Raw genomic sequence first — 21,665 nt, 5'->3', positions numbered from 1 at the left:
GATATTTGCACATATTCTTGCAGGCCCTACTGTTGAGCAGCAGGGAGAAATGGCGCGATCTGGAGGAAGGATGTTGGCCACCTTGGAACCTGAGCAGGTAATAACCTTAGGTGATAATATTGTTATAGTTTTCAGAGTGAGTCATGCTGTGTAGTTACAGGAGTCAAACCTGCTGACTCCATCTTTATTCCTAGTGAGCCACAGAGTTATCTGAGTTACAAGTCTGATTCAAATTTGCTCTGCCTTTTTTCTTTTTCTTAATTTTATTTTCCGTTTTATCTTTTATAGACAGAGGTCCAAGATAACTTTTCATCACTATGATGTTTTGATCAAGAGCATCATAAAAATGATGAGATTAGAAAGGTTACCTAATTCTGCCACATACTGGGCATGGAAATGTGGGAAAATTACTTATCCCACCCCATTCCAAATCCCCTGACTTGCCTAGAAGATGGGAAGCTCGAGAGCCTGCTCCATAGTTGGTAGCCCTGACCTGTCTGGCTTGAATTAGTCTAAGTAGCAGACATGATGAGGCTGGAAGTGGTGAGGAGGTCAAGTAGAAGCTGGGAGCTAGTCCCCCAGGGGTTATGTTGTCAAGGACGGATTTGAGAGTGAAGATGTGTGTGGGTTTATACTAGTGAATCCTTTGGCCTGAGAAAAGAAAAAGTAACTCCAATGGCAGAGAAAGGAAAGCAAAGGAGGAGCCTAGCTTCCCTTTCAAACCACTTCCCTCTGCTCCTCCAATAATCAGCATACTGATTTGCCACATTTCCTCATCTAGCAGGGTCAGGTTTGGGGTGTCTTCAAGTACCTAGGACTGAATTTTTTCACTTTGATTAAATGCATTAAATAAATAATTTACAAGGAAGAACCAGATGTAAAAACTTACCTGGACATAAACTAACTAATGATATTAAATATGTAAGACTCTATGTAACATGTTAATTCAAAGTACTGGCCCCTGTACAGTTACATAATCTCCTACAGATTATACAGTCTCCTACAGATTGTATCCATCATGCCCCTTCCCCCCCTTTTTTTTTTCTTATGACTCCTGATTATTACTATTAGCCATGGTTTGCTAATTATAATAATCAGGAGTCATAAGAAAAAAAAAGGAGGAAAAGTAAGAAGTGACCTAGAGGTTGGCAGTGAGAGAGGAAGGAAGAAATAAGGGGAGCAGTGGTGGGAATAAGTGATGGGAAGTCAGGAGATTTCAACTGGTGATGACCGTGGATGTGGGAGCAAGGCCTGGCACTCTCAGAAGAGTAGGTTTAAAAACTGTGGTGTGCATTCTTCTTGGATTAACATCTCTGTTTTTTTAATGGTGTACCTTTCTTCTAGAGAGCAGAAATTATCCATCATCTGGCTGATCTGTTGACGGACCAGCGTGATGAGATCCTGTTAGCCAACAAAAAAGACTTGGAGGAGGCAGAGGGTAAAGACCAGGCAATTTAAAGTCAATGTTGTGGAGGGGTGTGCATTATTTTGGTTTTTAGTTTTACTAATAATTCTTATGTCTGCCTAAAGATAAGGATTTTTATAAAAGAAATTGTACATTATGTATCATTTCTATTGAGGGTAGGTGGGTGGCTGGTATTCTCCTTCCCCAAATACTTTAGTACAACCCCCAGAGGAGCTTTTTTCATTCCCCACAGGTCACAAGCTGTGGCTACTATGGCGGTCAGGACAAAAAAGAACAAGATTGAGAACCCCACTGCTTAAGACATTCAGCTAATAGCTAACATTTATTGAGGCCTTTCTCTATTGACAGGCACTGTGCTAATGGCTATGCAGTCAGGATGTCATTTAATCTTCATAACATAGTGCCTCTGAGATAGCTACTACTTATTATCCCCATTTGACAGAGAAGGAAACTGAAGCTCAGAGAAGTTGTCACTTGCCCAAATCCACATGGTCAGTGATGGACCAGGATTTAAACACAGATGGACTGTACATGTGAAAGAGTTGTAGAAATAGTTTGTGCAGCCTGTGAAGAAAGATAGCTTGTTTCTTAGTTAATTAACCAGTCTTTTGTCTTCCCTGAGTTAGCACCAGGTGCCATCCAGAAATACCCTAGAGGTGCTAATGGTAAAGTAAGATGTTGAATTCACATTGTGAACACCTAGACATGTAGAGAGTCAGGGCCCTGACTCTTTCTCCTCTTTTTCTTAATTCTGTCTTTTCCCCCTTAAAATAATAGGGATTGATTTTATGGGGTTTTGAATTTCCTTTGCATTATCTTGAACATCCATATTAATGGTGTTTCTTTCAAAGAAATTTTGCACGGTTCAACGTTACTTTCATTCCTTAAAACATTTTTGAACCATTGTTTTAGAACTTCCTCTAGAATTTACATCTCATTTTTATAGTATTACAAAACGTAAAATAGATTTTCAGAACTGGAAGAAATCTTTGATACTATCCACTCATTAATTTAAAGTAAAAGAATTAAGACCCACAGAGGGTAAACCTGTTGTTGCCCAAGGTTCCACAGCTTGTTGTTGGCAGAAGACTCCTGATCCCAGCTATACCTCTCTGAACATGCATAAGGACACATAGTGGGTTAAGAACAAAGCCGTGGGTATACATGAGCGTGGCTTAGCAATCCCAGTTCGGGGAATTTATCCTCAAAAACTATTTCTAAAGAAAATAGGTCTTTAGGCCAGGCACAGTGGCTCACGCCCGTAATCCCAGCACTTTGAGAGGCCAAGCTGGGCAGATCACCTGAGGTCTGAGTTCAAGACCAGCCTGACCAACATGGTGAAACCTTGTCTCTAATAAAAATACAAAAATTACTGCTGGGCGCAGTGGCTCATGCCTGTAATCCCAGCACTTTGAGAGGCCAAGGTGGGCGGATCAGCTGAGGTCATGAGTTCGAGACCAGCCTGGCCAACATGGTGAAACCTTGTCTCTATAAAAATACAAAAATTACAGCTAGGCGCAGTGGCTCACGCCTGTAATCCCAGCACTTTCGGAGGCCTAGGTGGGCGGATCACCTGAGGTTGGGAGCTCAAGACCAGCCTGACCAACATGGAGAAACCTCATCTCTACTAAAAATACAAAATTAGCCGGGCTTGGTGGCGCATGCCTGTAATCCTAGCTACTCAGGAGGCTGAGGCAGGAGAATCGCTTGAACTCGGGAGGCAGAGGTTGCCATGAGCCGAGGTGGCACCACTGCACTCCAGTCTGGACAACAAGAGCAAAACTCCATCTCAAAAAAAAAAAGCCGGCCGTGGTAGCTCACATTTGTAATCCCAGTTACTCAGGCAGCTGAGGCAGGAGAATCGCTTGAACCTAGGAGGCAGAGGTTGCAGTGAGCCGAGATTGCGCTACTGCACTCCAGCCTGAGCGGCAGAGCAAGACTTCATCTCAAAAAAAAAAGAAAAAGAAAGAAAAGAAAATAGCTCTTTATCTAAGGATTCTTAGAGCAAGATTTATCACACTGAAAAACTGGAAACAAGCTGAGCATTTAATAACATAGGTGTGGTTAAGTGCGTTCAGCTGTATCAAATTAATGGAATATTTAGTAGTAATTAAGATAATTTTTGCAACATGGAAAATATACTCGCATTGTGAGGTGAAAAGCTAGGATGTAACATTTAACATATACTATAATTAAAACTTTTTTTTTAGCATATGGGGAAAAGTAAAGAAAATTAATTAATTTGTATAATTGGTTGGTAGAAAGATGGTTTAATTTTTTTTTCTTAATATAAGGTCAGTTGCTTCCCCCCAAGGCAGAAATCTTTTTATTATTTTATCTTGGTGGCTATGACTGTAAAAAAAGGAAAGGGAAAATTTTTGTAATCTCAACATTGACCACAGTAATGATTTGTGATATATGATTTCAAATGGTCTTCCTGAGTATATACATGTATATATATGAAGATGTACGTACATGTTTGTGTGTGGAGAGAGGGAATCACATCATGCATACTACTGTTTTTTAAAAAAATTCTGGGCCGGGTGCGGTGTCTCATGCCTGTAATCCCAGCACTTTGGGAGGCCGAGGTGGGCAGATCACAAGGTCAGGAGATGGAGACCATCCTGGCTAACACAGTGAAACCCCGTCTCTACTAAAAATACAAAAAATTAGCCGGGTGTGGTGGCGGGCGCCTGTAGTCCCAGCTACTCAGAAGGCTGAGGCAGGAGAATGGCTTGAACCCTGGAGGTGGAGCTTGCAGTGAGCCGAGATTGCGCCACTGCACTCCAGCCTGGGCGACAGAGCGAGACTCCGTCTCAAAAAAATATAGAAAATTCTGCGTATGAGCTTGCCATAATCCTATTTTTTTTTCAGCCAAGCATGGTCGCTCATACCAGTAATCCCAGCACTTTGGGAAGTGGAGACAGAGGAATCACTTTAGCCCAGGAGTTCGAGACCAGCCTGGGCAACATAGTGAGACCCCCTATCTCTACAAAATATGTTTTAAAATTAGCCAGCCATGGTGATACGTGCCTGTAGTCCTAGCTACTCTGGAGACTGAAGCAGGAGGATCACTTGAGCCCCGGAGTTCAAGGCTTCAGTGAGCTATGATTGCACCACTGCAGTCTAGCCTGGGCGGCACACTGAGACCCTGTCTCTAAAAGAAAAAAAGGAAAAAAGTTTTCTTTTTTAAAATTCTGTTCTCCTTCCCAAAATATTTAACATTTTATTTTAGAAGAAAACATCTTTGTTGGTTCTGATTATAAAAATAATTCACTCATTATAAAAAAAATAGAAAGATAGATTATTACTATTCTGGATGCGTTCCAGATTTCTTCCCGTGCACACATATATGTGCAGTGTTTGATAAATAAGATCATATCATACATGCTGTTTTATAGTTTGCCTTTTTCGTAGACTATATCCTAGACAGCTCTCCATGTCAGTGAACCTAGATATATTATTTATAATAACTGAATTATAAACCATTGTCTGAATATTTAGGTAGAATTCAATTTCTCAGCATTACAAAAATGCCATGCTAAGTATCCTTATTACATGCCTTTCTGTTCATACAAATGATAAATTTCTGGAACTGAAATTGCTGGGACAAAGGGTATCAGGGTACACAGCTTTACATGATGCTATGTACTACCAAATGGACCCCCAAGAAAGACAGTTTAAGTGGCATGTCATTGTCTTCCCAAGTCTGTTCCTAATGCAGTCCCACATGTTCAGTAAAACATCAAGACACATCAGTTGGGCCAGGCACGGTGGCTCGCACTTGTAATCCCAGCACTTTGGGAGGTCGAGGCAGGTGGATCACTTGAGTTGAGGAGTTCGAGATCAACCTGGCCAACCTGGTGAAACCCCCATCTCTACAAAAATAAGCCAGGCCTGGTGGTGCATGCCTGTAGTCCCAGCTACTAAGGAGGCTGAGGTGGGAGAATCGCTTGAACCCAGGAGGCAGAGGTTGCATTGGGCCTAGATCATGCCACTGCACTCCAGCCTGGGCGTCAGAGTGAGACCCTGTCTCAAAAAAAAAAAAAAAAAGACACATCGGTTGGTAGCTGTAGCCTGCCAGGTCTGCTACTTTATCATATCCTCTTAATGGCTTTTCAGGGAGACTTGCAGCTCCTCTGCTGAAACGTTTAAGCCTCTCCACATCCAAATTGAACAGCCTGGCCATCGGTCTGCGACAGATCGCAGCCTCCTCCCAGGACAGCGTGGGACGTGTTTTGCGCCGCACCCGAATCGCCAAAAACTTGGAACTGGAACAAGTGACTGTCCCAATTGGAGTTCTGCTGGTGATCTTTGAATCTCGTCCTGACTGTCTACCCCAGGTGTGTATATACCCCGGGAGAATAAATACCCTGCCATTGGGGGCTGGTGTGGATATTGGAGGAAGAATATATTTTCTTTTCTTTTTTTTTTTTTTTAATTTAAGTTCTAGGGTACATGTGCACAACGTGCAGGTTTGTTACATAGGTATACATGTGCCATATTGGTTTGCTGCACCCATCAACTCGTCATTTACATTAGTTATTTCTCCTAATGCTATCCCTCCCCCAGTCCCCCACCCCCCGACAGGCCCCAGTGTGTGATGTTCCCCACCCTGTGTCCAAGTGTTCTCATTGTTCAGTTCCCACCTACGAGTGAGAACATGCATTGTTTGGTTTTCTGTGCTTGTGAGAGTTTGCTGAGATTCTCTCAAGAGAATCATGCAGCTTCATCCATGTCCCTGCAAAGGACATGAACTTACCCTTTTTTATGGCTGCATAGTATTCCATGGTGTATATGTGCCACGTTTTCTTAATCCAGTCTATCATTGATGGACGTTTGGGTTGGTTCCAAGTCTTTGCTATTGTGAATAGTGCCACAATAAACATACGTGTGCATGTGTCTTTACAGTAGCATGATTTATAATCCTTTGGGTATATACCCAGTAATGGGATGGCTGGGTCAAATCGTATTTCTAGTTCTAGATCCTTGAGGAATTGCCACACTGTCTTCCACAATGGTTGAACTAGTTTACACTCCCACCAACAGTGTAAAAGTGTTCCTGTTTCTCCACATCCTCTCCAGCATCTTGTTTCCTGACTTTTTAATGAATGCCATTCTAACAGGCATGAGATGGTATCTCATTGTGGTTTTGATTTGCATTTCTCTGATGACCAGTGACGATGAACATTTTTTCATGTGTCTGTTGGCTGCATAAATGTCTTCTTTTGAGAAGTGTCTGTTCATATCCTTTGCACACTTTTTGATGGGGTTGTTTTTTTCTCGTAAATTTGTTTGAGTTATTTGAAGATTCTGGATATTAGCCCTTTGTCAAATAGGTAGATTGCAAAAATTTTCTCCATTCTGTAGGTTGCCTGTTCACTCTCATGGTAGTTTCTTTTGCCATGCAGAAGCTCTTTAGTTTAATTAGATCCCATTTGTCTATTTTGGCTTTTGCTGTCATTGCTTTTGGTGTTTTAGTCATGAAGTCCTTGCCCATGCCTATGTCCTGAATGATATTGCCTAGGTTTTCTTCTAGGGTTTTTATGGTTTTAGGTCTAACATTTAAGTTTTTAATCCATCTTGAATTAATTTTTGTATAAGGTGTAAGGAAGGGATCCAGTTTCAGCTCTCTACATATGGCTAGCCAGTTTTCCCAGCACCATTTATTAAATAGGGAATCCTTTCCCCATTTCTTGTTTTTGTCAGGTTTGTCAAAAATCAGATGGTTGTAGATGTGTGGTGTTATTTCTTAGGCCTCTGTTCTGTTCCATTGGTCTATCTCTCTGTTTTGGTACCAGTACCATGCTGTTTTGGTTACTGTAGCCTTGTAGTGTAGTTTGAAGTCAGGTAGCATGATGCCTCCAGCTTTGTTCTTTTTGCTTAGGATTGTCTTGGCAATGCGGGCTCTTTTTTGGTTCTGTATGAACTTTAAAGTAGTTTTTCCAATTCTGTGAAGAAAGTCATTGGTAGCTTGATGGGGATGGCATCGAATCTATAAATTACCTTGGGCAGTATGGCCATTTTCATGATATTGATTCTTCCTATCCATGAGCATGGAATGTTCTTCCATTTGTTTGTGTCCTCTTTTATTTCGTGGAGCAGTGGTTTGTAGTTCTCCTTGAAGAGGTCCTTCACATTCCTTGTAAGTTGGATTCCTAGGTATTTTATTCTCTTTGTAGCAATTGTGAATGGGAGTTCACTCATGATTTGGCTGTTTGTCTGTTACTGATGTATAGGAATGCTTGTGATTTTTGCACATTGATTTTGTATCCTGAAGAATATATTTTCAATACTGGAGATAGGTTTCCCAAAGACAATTGTGTGTGTGTGAAGGTCTTTTAACCAAAAAAAAGATAATTTTTGAGACTTTATTCTCAGGTTGTTCTTGAGGTAATATACGTTCTTGATTCCTCCAGTATCCTAAAGTAGTTGTTCATATGTCCATTTTAGACCTGGAGAAACTGAACCTCATAGAAGGTAATATTCCTGTCACACCTGTAAGGTGCAACTGGGACTGGAACCCAAATCAACCTACCATACCACAGTGCAGGAGCAAATTTCCAAATATCTTAGCCTGTGGTTCACTTTGTTCTCTGACCACAAGTCTCTGTTAGCCTGCTGCTGTCATTCATGAATAACTGGCTTGGCCCATGTGAAAAGGACCCCTTTATTGTCAGTATCACTGATGGCTTCCTATAAGTACATCTGTTAGGAAAAAGAACTTTCAGTAGTTAATGGAAATTAGAATGCAACTGTCGGCCAGGCACAGTGGCTGACACCTGTAATCCCAGCACTTTGGGAGGCCCAGGCAGGTGAATCACGAGGTCAAGAGATTGAGACCATCCTGGCCAACATGGTGAAACCTTGTCTCTACTAAAAAATACAAAATTAGTTGGCATGGTGGGACCTGTAGTCCCAGCTACTCAGGAGGCTGAGACAGGGGAATCACTTGAACCCAGGAGGCAGAGGTTGCAGTGAGTCGAGATCGTGCCACTGCATTCCAGCCTTGCAACAGGGCGAGATACCATCTCAAAAAAGAGAAAAGAATGCAACCCTCTTTAAGCAAGTTGACATATCACAGCCTCTGGTTGAGAAAGCATGCGTTAAAGTTCTTGCCAAGCAGCCATGCTGGGAAATACAAGGTGTCATTAGAGAGTGGCCCCACTTTATTACCCTAAACTGCCTCCCAGAATTCTGGGAGCATTTCCCCCACTGGACTGTCCTATAGGATACCAGCTCTTCCTTTGCACTAGCCCCAAAGTCTCAAAGGGAAATTCTACTGTAAAAACAAAAAACTAGCACCTCTTTACTATAAGACATAGTTGACTGTGGAATCTGGAATGCTCTGTGAAGGGTACTCTCTGACATCCCCTAAAACCAGTGTGTTCACCAAGGGACTCCCATACCACTGAGGCCTATCCTCAGTCCCTGGCTGATGCTGGCACACTACCTCTCTGGCCACATACCTGTCTTGCAGAAATGCCCCAGTGATGACTGCCAGACTCACCTCTGCTAGTAGAAATGGGCCTAAGTCTCTCTGTGGACTGTATCCGTGAAATTTCTTTGCTACCACTCATCCATACCAGCTGATACCTCACAAGGAGCTGATACCTCATTAGCTAACTACAGCTAAGGCTCCTCATCTGGACTCAGCCCTGGATGGTTTCACAGAATCCATGAATCCTAAAAATTGTGTGCAATATTCTGTGTGTTTATGTCTGGAGAAAGTTTACTTAACTTTTGTAAGAGGTAGGATGATCAGGTCAGTGTCACTCACTCTTTGCTCTAACAAGGCAACTAGCCCTCCTCCTGGATGGTTTACGTTTTCCTCCCCAGACAGGCATGTGGGAAAAAGACTCTGTTCTCAGCAGTCTCTACCACAGCTGCCCAGGGGCTGGCAGGAGCTCTGGTCTTCTCCAGGTTCTTAGCACCAAGCACTTAGAGCTCTCAGAACAATTCCAAGGCCAGAGTAGGATGTGGCCAGAGGAGCTGCCCAGCCTCAGCCTGATCAGATGAAGCAAGTGCTTCCTTACAGAGGTGGCTGAAGACCCTGTTCTCCACGGTGGGGGGTGCCATGTGGCCCTGGCCACTTAACTCAGTTCTCTTTGCTTTATTTGTTTGTTTGCGACGGAGTCTCACTCTGTTGCCCAGGCTGGAGTGAAGTGGTGCAATCTCGGCTGACTGCAGCCTCCGCCTCCCAGGCTCAAGAAAGTCTCTTGCCTCAGCCTCCTGGGTAGCTGGGACTACAGGCACCTGCCACCATGCCCGGCTAATTTTTGTATTTATAGTAGAGATGGGGTTTCACCATGTTGGTCAGGCTGGTATCGAACTCCTGACCTCAGGTGATCCACCCACCTCAGCCTCCCAAATTGCTGAGATTACAGGCGTGAGCCACCATACCTGGCCAACTCAGTTCTCTTTGCTAATGGTGCTAAGGAAGCCATATAGTTTAGTTGCTAAAATCCAGTGGTTTGTTCTGGAGTCAAACCACCTCAGTCTGGCTCCCATCCCTGTTATTTATAAGCTGTGTGACTTCGGGGAGTCATCAGCCTCTCTGGGCTTCAGTGCCCTTATCTGTAAAGTAGGGGATAAAACAGGCACTTAATTCACTGCAGTGTTGTGAAGATGAAACAGCATAGGCCTTCTAAAATGATGAACACAGTGCTTAGCACAGAAGGAGTGCTTGTGAATGCTAACATCACTGTTGCTATTACTGTTTGTCTCCTTTGATCCACTGCTCTCCCTTTGATCTGCAGGTGGCAGCTTTGGCTATCGCAAGTGGCAATGGCTTGTTACTCAAAGGAGGGAAGGAGGCTGCACACAGCAACCGGATTCTCCACCTCCTGACCCAGGAGGCTCTCTCAATCCATGGAGTCAAGGAGGCCGTGCAACTGGTAGGTCCCTGGGAATGCACCAAGTCAGGCCCAGAGGGGCCAGATCAGGTGTTTGGGAATTTAAAGCAAAACTTAGGCCACACAGAGCCAAGACACTACTACAAGCAGACTTGACACTCCAGCAGGCCTGTGAGCCTTCAGACTTTAGGCCATTCTGCAGAGCCAGATGGGTCCTCAGTGGCTTAGGAAGGCCCCTCCCTTACAGCTGCGTCTTGGCACTATTTATTTACAAGAATGTCAATTAGACCTTCATTCTTTGGGTCACAAGGCAGCAGGAGTACCAGAACTAGAGTGTGAGGCCTAGGTTCCTGTCATTGGCAGAGTGATCTAGGGTAAGTCAGATGAGAAACTTTACAAAAGTTTGTCATAAACTGTCATGCGGTGTGTTGAGTATGAGATCATGCTGTTATCACTATTATTATTAAGGTCATCACTTTAACTGACCATTTCTCATTCTCCTCAACTGTCAAATGAAGTTTGATAATAATAGCTACTACTTGTTGAGTACCTACTATGTGCAAGGCTCATTTTATCCGTTAACTCATTTGATCGTCACAGCAGTCCCATAAGGAAAATATCATTAATTATTAGACTCATTTTCTACATTGGGAAAAAACAGATTCAGAGGTAAAGTAATTCCCCAAGAGTCACATGGTGTGTGATAGAGTTTAGATTTGGACCTAGGCTGACTCCAGATCCTTTTTTTTCTTTGGCTCATTTGCTCCAACATTCCAGGATTCTGTTGGCTACTGGGAGGATGTCTACAAACCTGCTCATTACACACTCAGTGACCAGAATCTGGTTTTTTTCTTATGCCCACATAGTGGTTGGAAAGAGCGCAGATTTTAGGGATTCAAATCCCAGCCCCACCACTTCCTAGCTTACACAGGTGCCCTCCCTCCTTTTCTTCCTATTGATGTGTAACATACGTACAGTAAAGTATACAGATCCTGTGAACCACTCTGCGACTGTTCACACACACACATGTATAACCACCAGCCGTATCAAGATACAGAACAGTCCAACATCCTGGAGGGCCCCCTTGTGCCCTTCCCAGTCAATATGTAGCCCCCTTCCCCACAAACTACTTTTTTGACTTCTGTCACATTAAATTACTTTTGCCTTTTTTTTTTTTTTTGAGACATGGTCTTGCTCTGTTGCCCAGACTGGAATTCAGTGGCACAATCTTGGCTCTCGGCTCACTGCAGCCTCAGCCTCCTAGGCTCAAGCAGTCCACCCACCTCAGCTTTCCTAGTAGTTGGGACTACAGGTGTGTGCCTCCAGACCTGACTAACTTTTGTGGATTTTTTGTTTTTTGTAGAGACAGGGTTTCACCATGTTGCCCAGGCTGCTCTCAAACTCCTGAGCTCAGGCAATCTGCCTGCCTCAGCCTCCCAAAGTGCTGGGAATGTGCCACCACGCCCTGCCTTTTGCCTATTCTTGAAATTTATATAAATGAGATCAAACAAAACACACGTTTATGTTGCCTGTCATTTGTTCGTTATGTCTGTGGCATTCATTCCCATTGTTGCATCTAGCAGTAGTTTTCTCATTTAATTGCTGGGTAGTGTTCCATTTACCTGCATATACTACAGTTCATCTTTTCTTCTCTTGATGAATATTTAGATTGTTTCCAGTTTTGGGCTATGTGGAATAAAGTTGCTGTGAACATTCTGGCACACATATATATTTGTTATAAAAGTAATATGACCATGTGGAGAAAAATTAAAAATCAAGAGAAAACAAAATGCCCATAATCTCAGTATCCTCTCACAGGCTCTTTAAGTCATTCTAATCCACATCCCAGGGTAGAAGTTGCCATCAGAAGTCATGAGAACCATGACTCCCTAGCAAGACCAACCCAACATTTCCTCAATGCTGTGAATAGAAAACCAACAGAGAAGCCACTCCCTTTTGTGATCTTCATGGCCTGGAGTAGTGTACTGCATTTAACCTCCATAGATACCCCTTTGTGCTGCTTCTGGCATTTTAAAAATTGTCTGCCCTGTATTATGGCTAGCAGTACCCTAGTGCTGCCTTCCCTACTTGATGCTGAGCTCTTTGACGGCATGCAGTGTCCTGCGTGATATGTGATGTGGAGCACAGCACCGAGTATATAGTGTTTGATAAGCATTTGCTGGACAACTTTTTGATTCCCATGATCGGGAACTTAATTTTGTTTTTAGAATAAGTTTTCACAGTGTCTCACTTAGTTCTCAGAGTGTACAGATGTTTATCTGTAAAAGGGAAGCTGCTGTTTTTATATTTTGTGTGGTCAGATGTCATCTTTATCTTTTTCTTCTTTCCTTCTAAAGGTGAATACCAGAGAAGAAGTTGAAGATCTTTGCCGCCTAGACAAAATGATAGATCTGATCATTCCACGTGGCTCTTCCCAGCTGGTCAGAGACATCCAGAAAGCTGCTAAGGGGATTCCAGTGATGGGGCACAGCGAAGGGATCTGTCACATGTATGTGGATTCCGAGGCCAGTGTTGATAAGGTCACCAGGCTAGGTGAGCTGGATGGGGTCTTCTCTTTCACAACGGAGAAATATTACATCCTCTGCAGCTCTGGATCATGTCAATGGAAACAATTCTTTGCTCATCTTCTTTCAGTCAGAGACTCTAAATGTGAATATCCAGCTGCCTGTAATGCTTTGGAGACTTTGTTAATCCACCGGGATCTGCTCAGGACACCATTATTTGACCAGATCATTGATATGCTGAGAGTGGAACAGGTAAGAGTTCCATAGGACTAGTACATTACTTCCTGTCTTAGAAGCCTGTGGAATTAGACCAGGCACAGCCATACCATATAAGGCAGTTTAAGAAACAATATTTTTTAATATCTTCTGTGTACAAAGTTCCATGCTAAGTAAAGTGTGAGTAAAACACAACCCCTGCCCTCTAGTAGTCGAACCAAACCAATACACAAATAGCTTTATTACAAAGTGGAATGTGTTGTGTGCTAAAGAGGGTTCAAAGGTAAGACAGACCACATGGCACTATGCTGACTGAACTGTTTCTGGCAACCTTATATATGCAAGGTGTTCCCAAGCATATATTATTTTTTGGATTTGATTTGAAAAGATGGTGCAGAAACGTTTCAAACCAAAAACTTATGTACATTCACTGCCTCCCCCCAGTGTCTTTGGTTACCAATATTAGTGTACTTAATGCAGTGATATTTGGGATTCAGTAATTTGTAGAATGTCTCCCTGGATTATGTTTTTACTATATTGTTAAGGTTGTAAACAAACCAAAAGCCAGTAAGTTTCAAATATAAAGTTGTGCTGTGTCCTAAATTCATGCCTGCAAGAAAATATAATAGATGCCCTCAAGGCAAAAATGGACAATCTGTTAAACTCTCTGCATGGATGCATTTTAAGCTTTAATTTCTGATGTCATAGTACACTTTCAGAGTTATATAAACCAGCATGGCAGTAGAGAAGGTGCTTGTTGGCCTTGGTTGCTTTGACTCTGAACATATGTCTCTTCCCTTCCATCCTTTGACTGGAAAGGAAGGCTCCAGTTAGCTTATAAATGTGGCATGGTCCCAGTGAGAACTGGAAAGAATTGTTTTAAAAATGAAACTGTACTCCATGGATTACAAGGAAGTTAGATCACATGGTCATTCATGTTCGGGGACCTTACTTTACTTTGGTAAGGAAGCCTGTTGATTGGGCACCTGTGTTTGCCAAGCACCACAGTGAACTGGATTAGACAGGAGGAAAGCTCTCCTTTAGCCAGGACTAAATCCCTCCCCAGACCTAATTTGAACACACAAGTGGTATCCTCAGTCATTAAAATGAGGATGGCCTTGAAATTCCAAATCAAAATGAGTCACTGTGTGTACTTCATACAGCACTTTTGGATGGCAGAAAGTAAAGCTAGAAGGATGACTTGCACAGGGATGGGGTTCCAGTCCCCAAGGAACACAGAAGAAGTGAGATCCCAGATAAGAAACAATGGCAGGGCCTCGGGAATCATGAGGATAAGGCAGACACCACTTATAACTTGAGCCAAGGCAAAAGCTTGATCCCAAAGAATCAAGGCATGAACCCTGTCCTGGGGATGTCTCAGAAAACAAGGTTTAAGTGGGATCCAGCTTGTGATTGGGATCCTCGGTGACCAGCCTCAGAATCCTTAAATTCCTCTAACCAGCAGCAGGATTAGAGCCAGAGCCTGGGGCTGAGCTGAACCTAGAGGTGGGGCCAGACTGACGCAGTTGGAAATCAAATGAGTAGCCACAGTTTCAGGTGCTGAAAGCACCTGACCAAGTACTGCTTACCTCTAAAGCAAACCTGGGACTTCGCTAGGGTACAGGGAGTAGCAATGTATATGTGGCACCTCCCTTTTTCCACACGAGTCTAGTGCCTAGGTACCATATGCAGGAACTGGGATCTTTATTGTCAAGTATTCATTTTAGGAAAATGCCAGAAGTCAAGCCCTTGTGTTGATAACCCACTAAACGCCTTGCACATTCTTTTTTATTCTTTTTTTTTTCTTTGAGACGGAGTCTTGCTCTGTGCCCCAGGCTGGAGTGCAGTGGCACAATCTTGGCTCACTGCAACCTCTGCCTTCCAGGTTCAAGCAGTTCTCCTCCTGCTTGAACCTCCCAAGTAGCTGAGATTACAGGCACCTGCCACCATGCCCTGCTAATTTTTTTAGTAAAGACGGGGTTTCACCATGTTGGCCAGGTTGGTTTTTGAACTCCTGACCTCAAGTTATCCACCCGTCTCAGCCTCCCAAAGTACTGGGATTACAGGCGTGAGCCACCATGCCCGGCCCACCTTGCACATCCTTAACGTTCAAGGCTTCCTGCTTCAATCCCTGTTCCAACTGTCTTGAGGGCCCATTGCTGGCAAGTGGCCAGTCAGATCATGCTGGAGGGAGGAAAGTAGGACTAGTTCAGTTGTTGAGGCTACAGGAGCCACTTTGGGCTGTGGTTTTACAGGCTCACCTTTCTGTTCTATCCTAGAACTTGCTTATTTCAGTTGTTTTTATGTTGTTGCCCCTGGACTTCCTCTGTTCCAGGTAAAAATTCATGCAGGCCCCAAATTTGCCTCCTATCTGACCTTCAGCCCCTCCGAAGTGAAGTCACTCCGAACTGAGTATGGGGACCTGGAATTATGCATTGAAGTAGTGGACAACGTTCAGGATGCCATTGACCACATCCACAAGTATGGCAGCTCCCACACGGATGTCATCGTCACAGAGGACGGTCAGTGTCCAGATGCTTCCCGCATACAGTGTCTGCCTTTGCTGCTTTCTGATCCTGCTCCTCTTAGCCCCCCTTGGGCTGCAGAAAAACATCATTTGAGTAGGCTTATGGTAATGTTTAGTAGTGGTTGCATTTGGTACTTTGATGAGTGCTTTCACATCACTTTATTATATTGTCACAGCTGGAGGAGGAGGGGCAGGGATGATTAGCTCTGCTTCGAAGATGACTAACCCTGTCAGAGGCACTATCATTTAATGCGTGCAGCAAATCTTACAAGGTAGTTAAAATAAACCCATTTTACAGCTGAGGAAACCAAGGCAGAACCAACTCTGCACATTCATTCATTCATTCATTTATTCCACAAATATGTATGCAGGGACACTCCTGGGTGTCAGATACTGGAGCCTCAATGGTGGAGGATGCCAGTAGGGCCCCAATGAGGAATTTACAGTCAGCTAATTAGGGCACCAGAGCAGTACCACCCGTATTAACAGCCAACATTTACCAAGCACTCACTGTGTGCTAGGCACTAGCATGAGTACTCCCCAGGTGTTTCATCCTCTCTACAACCCTATCAGCTAGGTCATGTTGTAAGTCCCTTTTGACCCAGACACAGAGAGTTTTGTACACCTGCAGAAGGTCACAAAGCTAGCAGGTGTACAGCTGGAGTTCAGGCCTAGGAAGTCTGGCTCTGGAGCCCATAAGTAGGAAGTTTAGGCAGGTCACCTGCATGGGAGATCTGGATTCCAACTCAGTCTTTCCACAACACCGTGATTGATGAAGCTAACTTGTCTTCTTCCTGTTGAGATTTTTCATAAGCCTGAGTATTTAATACGTGAGAACACATGGAGAGGCCCCAGTGGGGACCCAGACCCTGCCCTGATCTGTCACCAGTCAATGGCTGGAAACAGGGATGTTCTCTGGGTATCATCCTAACTTGGTTTCTCCTTCTTCACCCTGCAGAAAACACAGCGGAGTTCTTCCTGCAGCACGTAGACAGTGCCTGTGTGTTCTGGAATGCCAGCACTCGCTTTTCTGATGGTTACCGCTTTGGACTGGGTAAGAAAGACTCTGGTTGGGAAGAAAGAAGTTCCTTGTGAAGCACTGTGTGGTCTAGGGGTATGTTGAGGTGGGAAAGACACCTCCCCTTGACTGTCACATGCTTGGTCAAGATAAGAGAGAAACAGGCTGGGTGCCGTGGCTCACGCCTGTAATCCCAGCACTTTGGGAGGCCGAGGTGGGTGGATCACCTGAGGTCAGGAGTTCGAGACCAGCGTGGCCAACATGGTGAAACCCTGTCTCTACTAAAAATGCAAAAAATTAGCCAGGTGTGGTGGTGCATGCCTGTAATCCCAGCTACTCAGGAGGCTGAGGCAGGAGAATTGCTTGAACCCGGGAGGCAGAGGTTGCGGTGAGCCCGAGATTACGCTACAGCACTCCAGCCTGGAGGACAGAGTGAGACACCATCTCAAAAAAAAAAAAAAAATAGAGACAGACTTCTGGCAAGGTAGGATTATCAGGGAGAATAATTAATGAAACCTCCCATGAGTTGGTGGAAGGCCTATCTTCTAAGCATTTCACATGCTAAGAAGGCAGGTACTTGTATTCATTTTTCAAAGAGGGAGAATGAGATTCAGAGAAGTATAGTAACTTGCCCAAAGTCCCACAGCTGGCATTCAGACCCAAACTTGAGCAAGTCCAAAGCCTGGGTTCTCCCGCTACAGCGTGGGCAACCACAGCCTGCCTTTTTACACAGGCTGCGCCAGAGGTACATGCTGTGTCCCTTGAGAGCACTCCTTTTACAGACTTATTTCGTCAAAATGGCACAGCCAGGTTGCCTCGGAGATAGGAAACCCCACAATGGTAGGACAAAAGAAGGTGCCGTGGGCCTAAGTACCAGCATCAAAACAAACAGGCCAGCCAGAAGTACAAGGTTACCTTCTACAGCAGACCTTGAAATAAAAAGCTTCAGAAGGGCACTTCTGTCCCTTTCCATTAGGTATAAAATTTCCAGCCCTCTGTCGTGTTGGGGTTATTTGGACAGTCTCTCGTTTTCAGGGGTACCAGTATATAAAACTCCAGAACGGGCGCAGTGGCTCACGCCTATAATTCCAGCACTTTGGGAGGCCAAGGCGGGCAGATCACCTGAGGCCGGGAGTTGGAGATCAGCGTGACCAACATAGAGAAACCCCATCTCTACTAAAAATACAAAATTAGCTGAGCATGGTGGCACTTGCCTGTAATCCCAGCTACTCGGGAGGCTGAGGCAGGAGAATCGCTTGAACCTGGGAGGCAGAGGTTGCAGTGAGCCGAGACCGCACCATTGCGCTCTAGCCTGGGCAACAAGAGCTAAACTCCATCTCAAAAAACAAAACAGACAAAAAACCTCCAATAATACATTTATGACACGTTTTCTGAATATTTGAGAATTATTTCAACCACTCAAAACATTTTAGGCCACGGGCAGTGGCTCACACCTGTAATCCCGGCACTTTGAGAGGCTGAAGCAGGAGGATCTCATGAGTCGGGGAGTTCGAGACCAGCCTGGGCAACGCAGCGAGACCTCCTCTCTACAGAGATGAAAAAATTATCCAGGTGTGGTGGCGTGAGCCTGTAGTCCCAGTTACTCAGGAGGCTGAGGCAAGAGGATCCCTTGAGCCCAGGAGTTCGAGGCTGCAGTGAGCTAAGATGATGCCATTGTACTCCAGCCTGGGAGAGAGTGAGGCCCTATCTGTATAACAAAACAAAACAGAAAGACACACATTTTAATCCTTCTGAACTTTTTGAGTAGATGATCTGCCTGGAGAAATAATTCTCACCAAATTGTTAAAAGGTTATGAAAGGGAATTTAACTCAGTTATTCTTAATCATGATACTCTTTATTTTTAGTTCCCCATTTGTATTATGTTGGGATTTTGATGTAATTATCACATCACTTGCATTGATCTTTATACTCTCCATGTACTTGAAAAAGAAATAGCAACATATTTTTAAGGGCTGGGGCACCCAGCATTCAAATGAAAATCCAGGATGAAGGAAGAACAAAAGATCATTTCATTGTCCTTCCAACACCAGCTCAGAGTGAAAGCTGGTTGAGTTAAATTCCTTGTGAAATGCATTAATGACAGTAACAGATTTTACTGAGCATTTACTACATTCCCAGCACTGTGCTAAATGTGTCGCAAGCATGCTCTCACTTCATTCTACAAGATGAATTCTCATTTTCCAGATGAAGAAACTGAGGCATGAGACATAAAGTTAGGTAGTATGTCCAAAGTCATGTGGTCTGTATGCTATTGAACCAGAATTTGAATCCTGCTGGTTTCACTCTCCTTGCCAACCACTACCCCAAGCACATCCCGCCCCTACTGTGTCTCGTACTTGCTCTTCTCTCTGCCTGCAGCACCTCTGTCTGGTTTTCTCCAGCCAGCTCCTTCTCACTGTTCAGGTCCCAACCAAAAGGCACTTCCTTAGGGAGGCTTTCCCTGACCATCCTACCCAGCGTGTCCCCAGCTCCACCACACAGCCTCTGTCATAGCACCCATCACTGCACTTGAGCACCACAGGAGACTATTTACTCACCTGTCCTTTGGCTGCCTCGCCTGCTATAATATCAGCGCCACAAAAACAGGGCCTTGTATCTATTATTCACCACTTTATCCCCAGGGCTCAACACAGTGCCTAGTACATAGTACATGCTCAGTAAAGTTGTGATGATTGAGGGAACCCTGCCTCCACTGTATACAGTGCAGAACACCAAGCCAGGGCCAGGAAAACCCCTGACGTTCCCTAGGTCTGAGCTGGGAGCAAGAGAAAAGGGAATGAACAGTAACCCTTTGATGTATTCAGTAACTGTCTAATGAGTCCCTTGTGCTAAGACTTCTAGGGGATACCACAAACATGTCCCTTTCTTTCTAAGATTTAAAGAGTATTTGAGGAGGTGAAACCATCATGGTAAACATTGTCGTACCCCTCAAAACATGCCCAAATGTCAAAATATGGTATGCAATTCAGATGCTAAACTGATAAAAGAGACAGCACTTGTATTAATAGCATTGTCAAAATGCACTGGGGATAAAATACAGAAGAAGAGTCCACACACTGTTTCACGAGAAGGAGTGTATCATGATTTGTAGTAATCGAAGAACATGTTTATGGGAACAGGGTGACTCAGCTCTTCTGGGGAGGATGGATGAGGAGTTAGCAGGAAGAGAGGGTACCAAGTGAGGGGAAAGCAGCAGGGTGGGTCTGGGGCATGGACAGGAAGCAGAGGCTGGGAAAAGCTACATCTTTTATTCATGCTTTTTCACAGGAGCTGAAGTGGGAATCAGTACATCGAGAATCCACGCCCGGGGACCAGTAGGACTTGAGGGACTGCTTACTACTAAGTGGCTGCTGCGAGGGAAGGACCACGTGGTCTCAGATTTCTCAGAGCATGGAAGTTTAAAATATCTTCATGAGAACCTCCCTATTCCTCAGAGAAACACCAACTGAAAAGAGCCAGGAAAACCCGGGAATTTTCCAAAAGGTCTTCACGTTAAACTTGTCTTATCTCAGGAGAGAGCCCGCTCTTGTCTCCCAGTTCCTGGTAGGGTCTGCCTGTTGGAAAGTGTACCTGGATGCTTCTGGGCTCCGTTTGGCAATAGCAGTCTTGGCTGATGTGCACAGTCTGGCTCCCAGCTCACCCTTTTTTTTTAAAGTAAGAAAATAGTTGCTACCGATAGGGACTTTGCCAAGTCCAATTATCTTCTAGGATTGAAAGGTGCATTTTCCCCATAAAAAAGGCGAGGAAAACCCATGGCTGCTTTGTGTCACCTCAGTGACTTACAGTCCCCCTTGGCATTTAGTTGGTACTAGAGCCAGTCATCCTTAACAAATCTTTTCACATTTTATTTCTTTCACATGTAGTCATCTTCAAAAAGGAAAGATTTGGAATTTTAGAAAAGGGGCAACTCTTCTTTTTAGCATTCTCATCAGAAAGTCACAAAAATCGATGGAATCATTTCCACTGGGAAGATTGACCTTTTGTATTTATTTGTGGGGTAAATTAATAAGCATTCCAGATGCTTGCAGCTTCCTGCATCCAGGAGATGCTGTGTTCCCCGTGATGCAGCTGGAACCCAAGCTGCAGCAGGAGATGCAAGTTTCAGGATGTTCCCCACTGAGCTGGAGGAATATCTACAGCAGTGATGCTTGAAATTTTTGTATGAATTATTTTGTCGTCCTACCCTTTTCCTCCAAAACAAAAATTAGAGGATTATTTTAATACTTTGGATTCTTCCCCCTTTTTTGAGAAATAAAGTTTTTTATGAAAAGCCTGTGCGTGATTGAAGTTTTCTCCCTTAATTGTTGTTACCCCCTTCCTTTTCCTCTCTTGTGACCCTCGTGCCCTGCTTGTGGGCATGGTCTCTTCTCTGGAAGCTGTCTGGGGAGACAAGACATCTGCCTCAACAGTGTTTGTTGGTGGAAGCAACATAGGCAGTCCCCACAGAGGGACTCAGACGGAGAGACAGGAAAGGAAAACAGGAGATTAAGCCCCAAGAGCTTGAAGACTAAAAGTGCAGTGAAGGTCTGAAGTTGGTGGGGTCCAACCTGAGCGAGCTCCCGCGGTGGCACATAGCCCCAGCTGACATCCTTAGTTCACTGCATCCCCCCAGCTCCTCCCTGCCAGTCCTGTTGCCTCAGGATCACTTGACAGCTCGGACCCTCCCCACTCTCCCTCCATCTCTAGCTCCTGTCCTTAGGGCCCCTGGTGCCTGACAGTCTGCAGTTGAAAGATTTCATGGGGGCCTCCTAAAGAAATAAGCACTCGCTTACGATGCTGCTGCTTTTCCTCTGAGGATGTTTTACCAGCACAAGAATGATGGTGTCATGTGGAACATGTTCCCAGGCTGGCTGCACAGCCTGCCTCTCCTCCAGACCCTTACATGGTCTGGCAAGTCACCCTGACTGCCCTGCCCTCTGGATGAGGAGTTCTGGCATAGCTTGCCTGAAAAGGCTATAAACAGTCCTGCCTGAAACTGTCACAAATACCACAATGAGCTCCCAACCAGACAACAAATGCCCAGGAATCTTAAATAGAAGGCAGCCCAAGAGAGCTGGGGCCCTTGGGGAAGACCAC

General features: G+C 44.3%; 1 protein-coding gene across 10 annotated transcripts in view, besides 2 other annotated features; it reads left to right on the top strand.

The window, feature by feature from the left end:
• Nucleotides 1-20,859, top strand: part of ALDH18A1 (aldehyde dehydrogenase 18 family member A1) — a 50,771-nt gene extending 29,912 nt beyond the window's left edge. For all 10 annotated transcript variants that reach the window (NM_001323419.2, NM_001323412.2, NM_001323417.2 and 7 more), the window contains 9 exons: nucleotides 24-97; nucleotides 1,345-1,438; nucleotides 5,549-5,769; nucleotides 10,186-10,323; nucleotides 12,639-12,834; nucleotides 12,937-13,058; nucleotides 15,358-15,544; nucleotides 16,508-16,603; nucleotides 19,857-20,859. In NM_001323419.2, the coding sequence (NP_001310348.1) occupies nucleotides 24-97; nucleotides 1,345-1,438; nucleotides 5,549-5,769; nucleotides 10,186-10,323; nucleotides 12,639-12,834; nucleotides 12,937-13,058; nucleotides 15,358-15,544; nucleotides 16,508-16,603; nucleotides 19,857-20,038 (1,310 nt within the window). In that variant the 3' untranslated portion in view covers nucleotides 20,039-20,859. The remainder of the gene's footprint in view (nucleotides 1-23; nucleotides 98-1,344; nucleotides 1,439-5,548; nucleotides 5,770-10,185; nucleotides 10,324-12,638; nucleotides 12,835-12,936; nucleotides 13,059-15,357; nucleotides 15,545-16,507; nucleotides 16,604-19,856) is intronic.
• Nucleotides 13,154-13,448: an enhancer, noted in NCBI's record as "tiled region #3716; HepG2 Activating DNase matched - State 14:Gen5'". NCBI's record gives its function as "activates a minimal TATA promoter and a strong SV40 promoter by Sharpr-MPRA in HepG2 cells {active_cell/tissue: HepG2}" and the evidence as "EXISTENCE:reporter gene assay evidence [ECO:0000049][PMID:27701403]".
• Nucleotides 13,154-13,448: a silencer, noted in NCBI's record as "tiled region #3716; K562 Repressive non-DNase unmatched - State 15:Elon". NCBI's record gives its function as "represses a minimal TATA promoter and a strong SV40 promoter by Sharpr-MPRA in K562 cells {active_cell/tissue: K562}" and the evidence as "EXISTENCE:reporter gene assay evidence [ECO:0000049][PMID:27701403]".

This window comes from Homo sapiens, chromosome 10 (genome assembly GCF_000001405.40).
Source record: "Homo sapiens chromosome 10, GRCh38.p14 Primary Assembly".
Taxonomy (NCBI): Eukaryota; Metazoa; Chordata; class Mammalia; order Primates; family Hominidae; genus Homo; species Homo sapiens.
The sequence above is the reverse complement of the archived record's forward strand: the minus strand, read 5'-3'. Positions and strand labels throughout refer to the sequence as shown.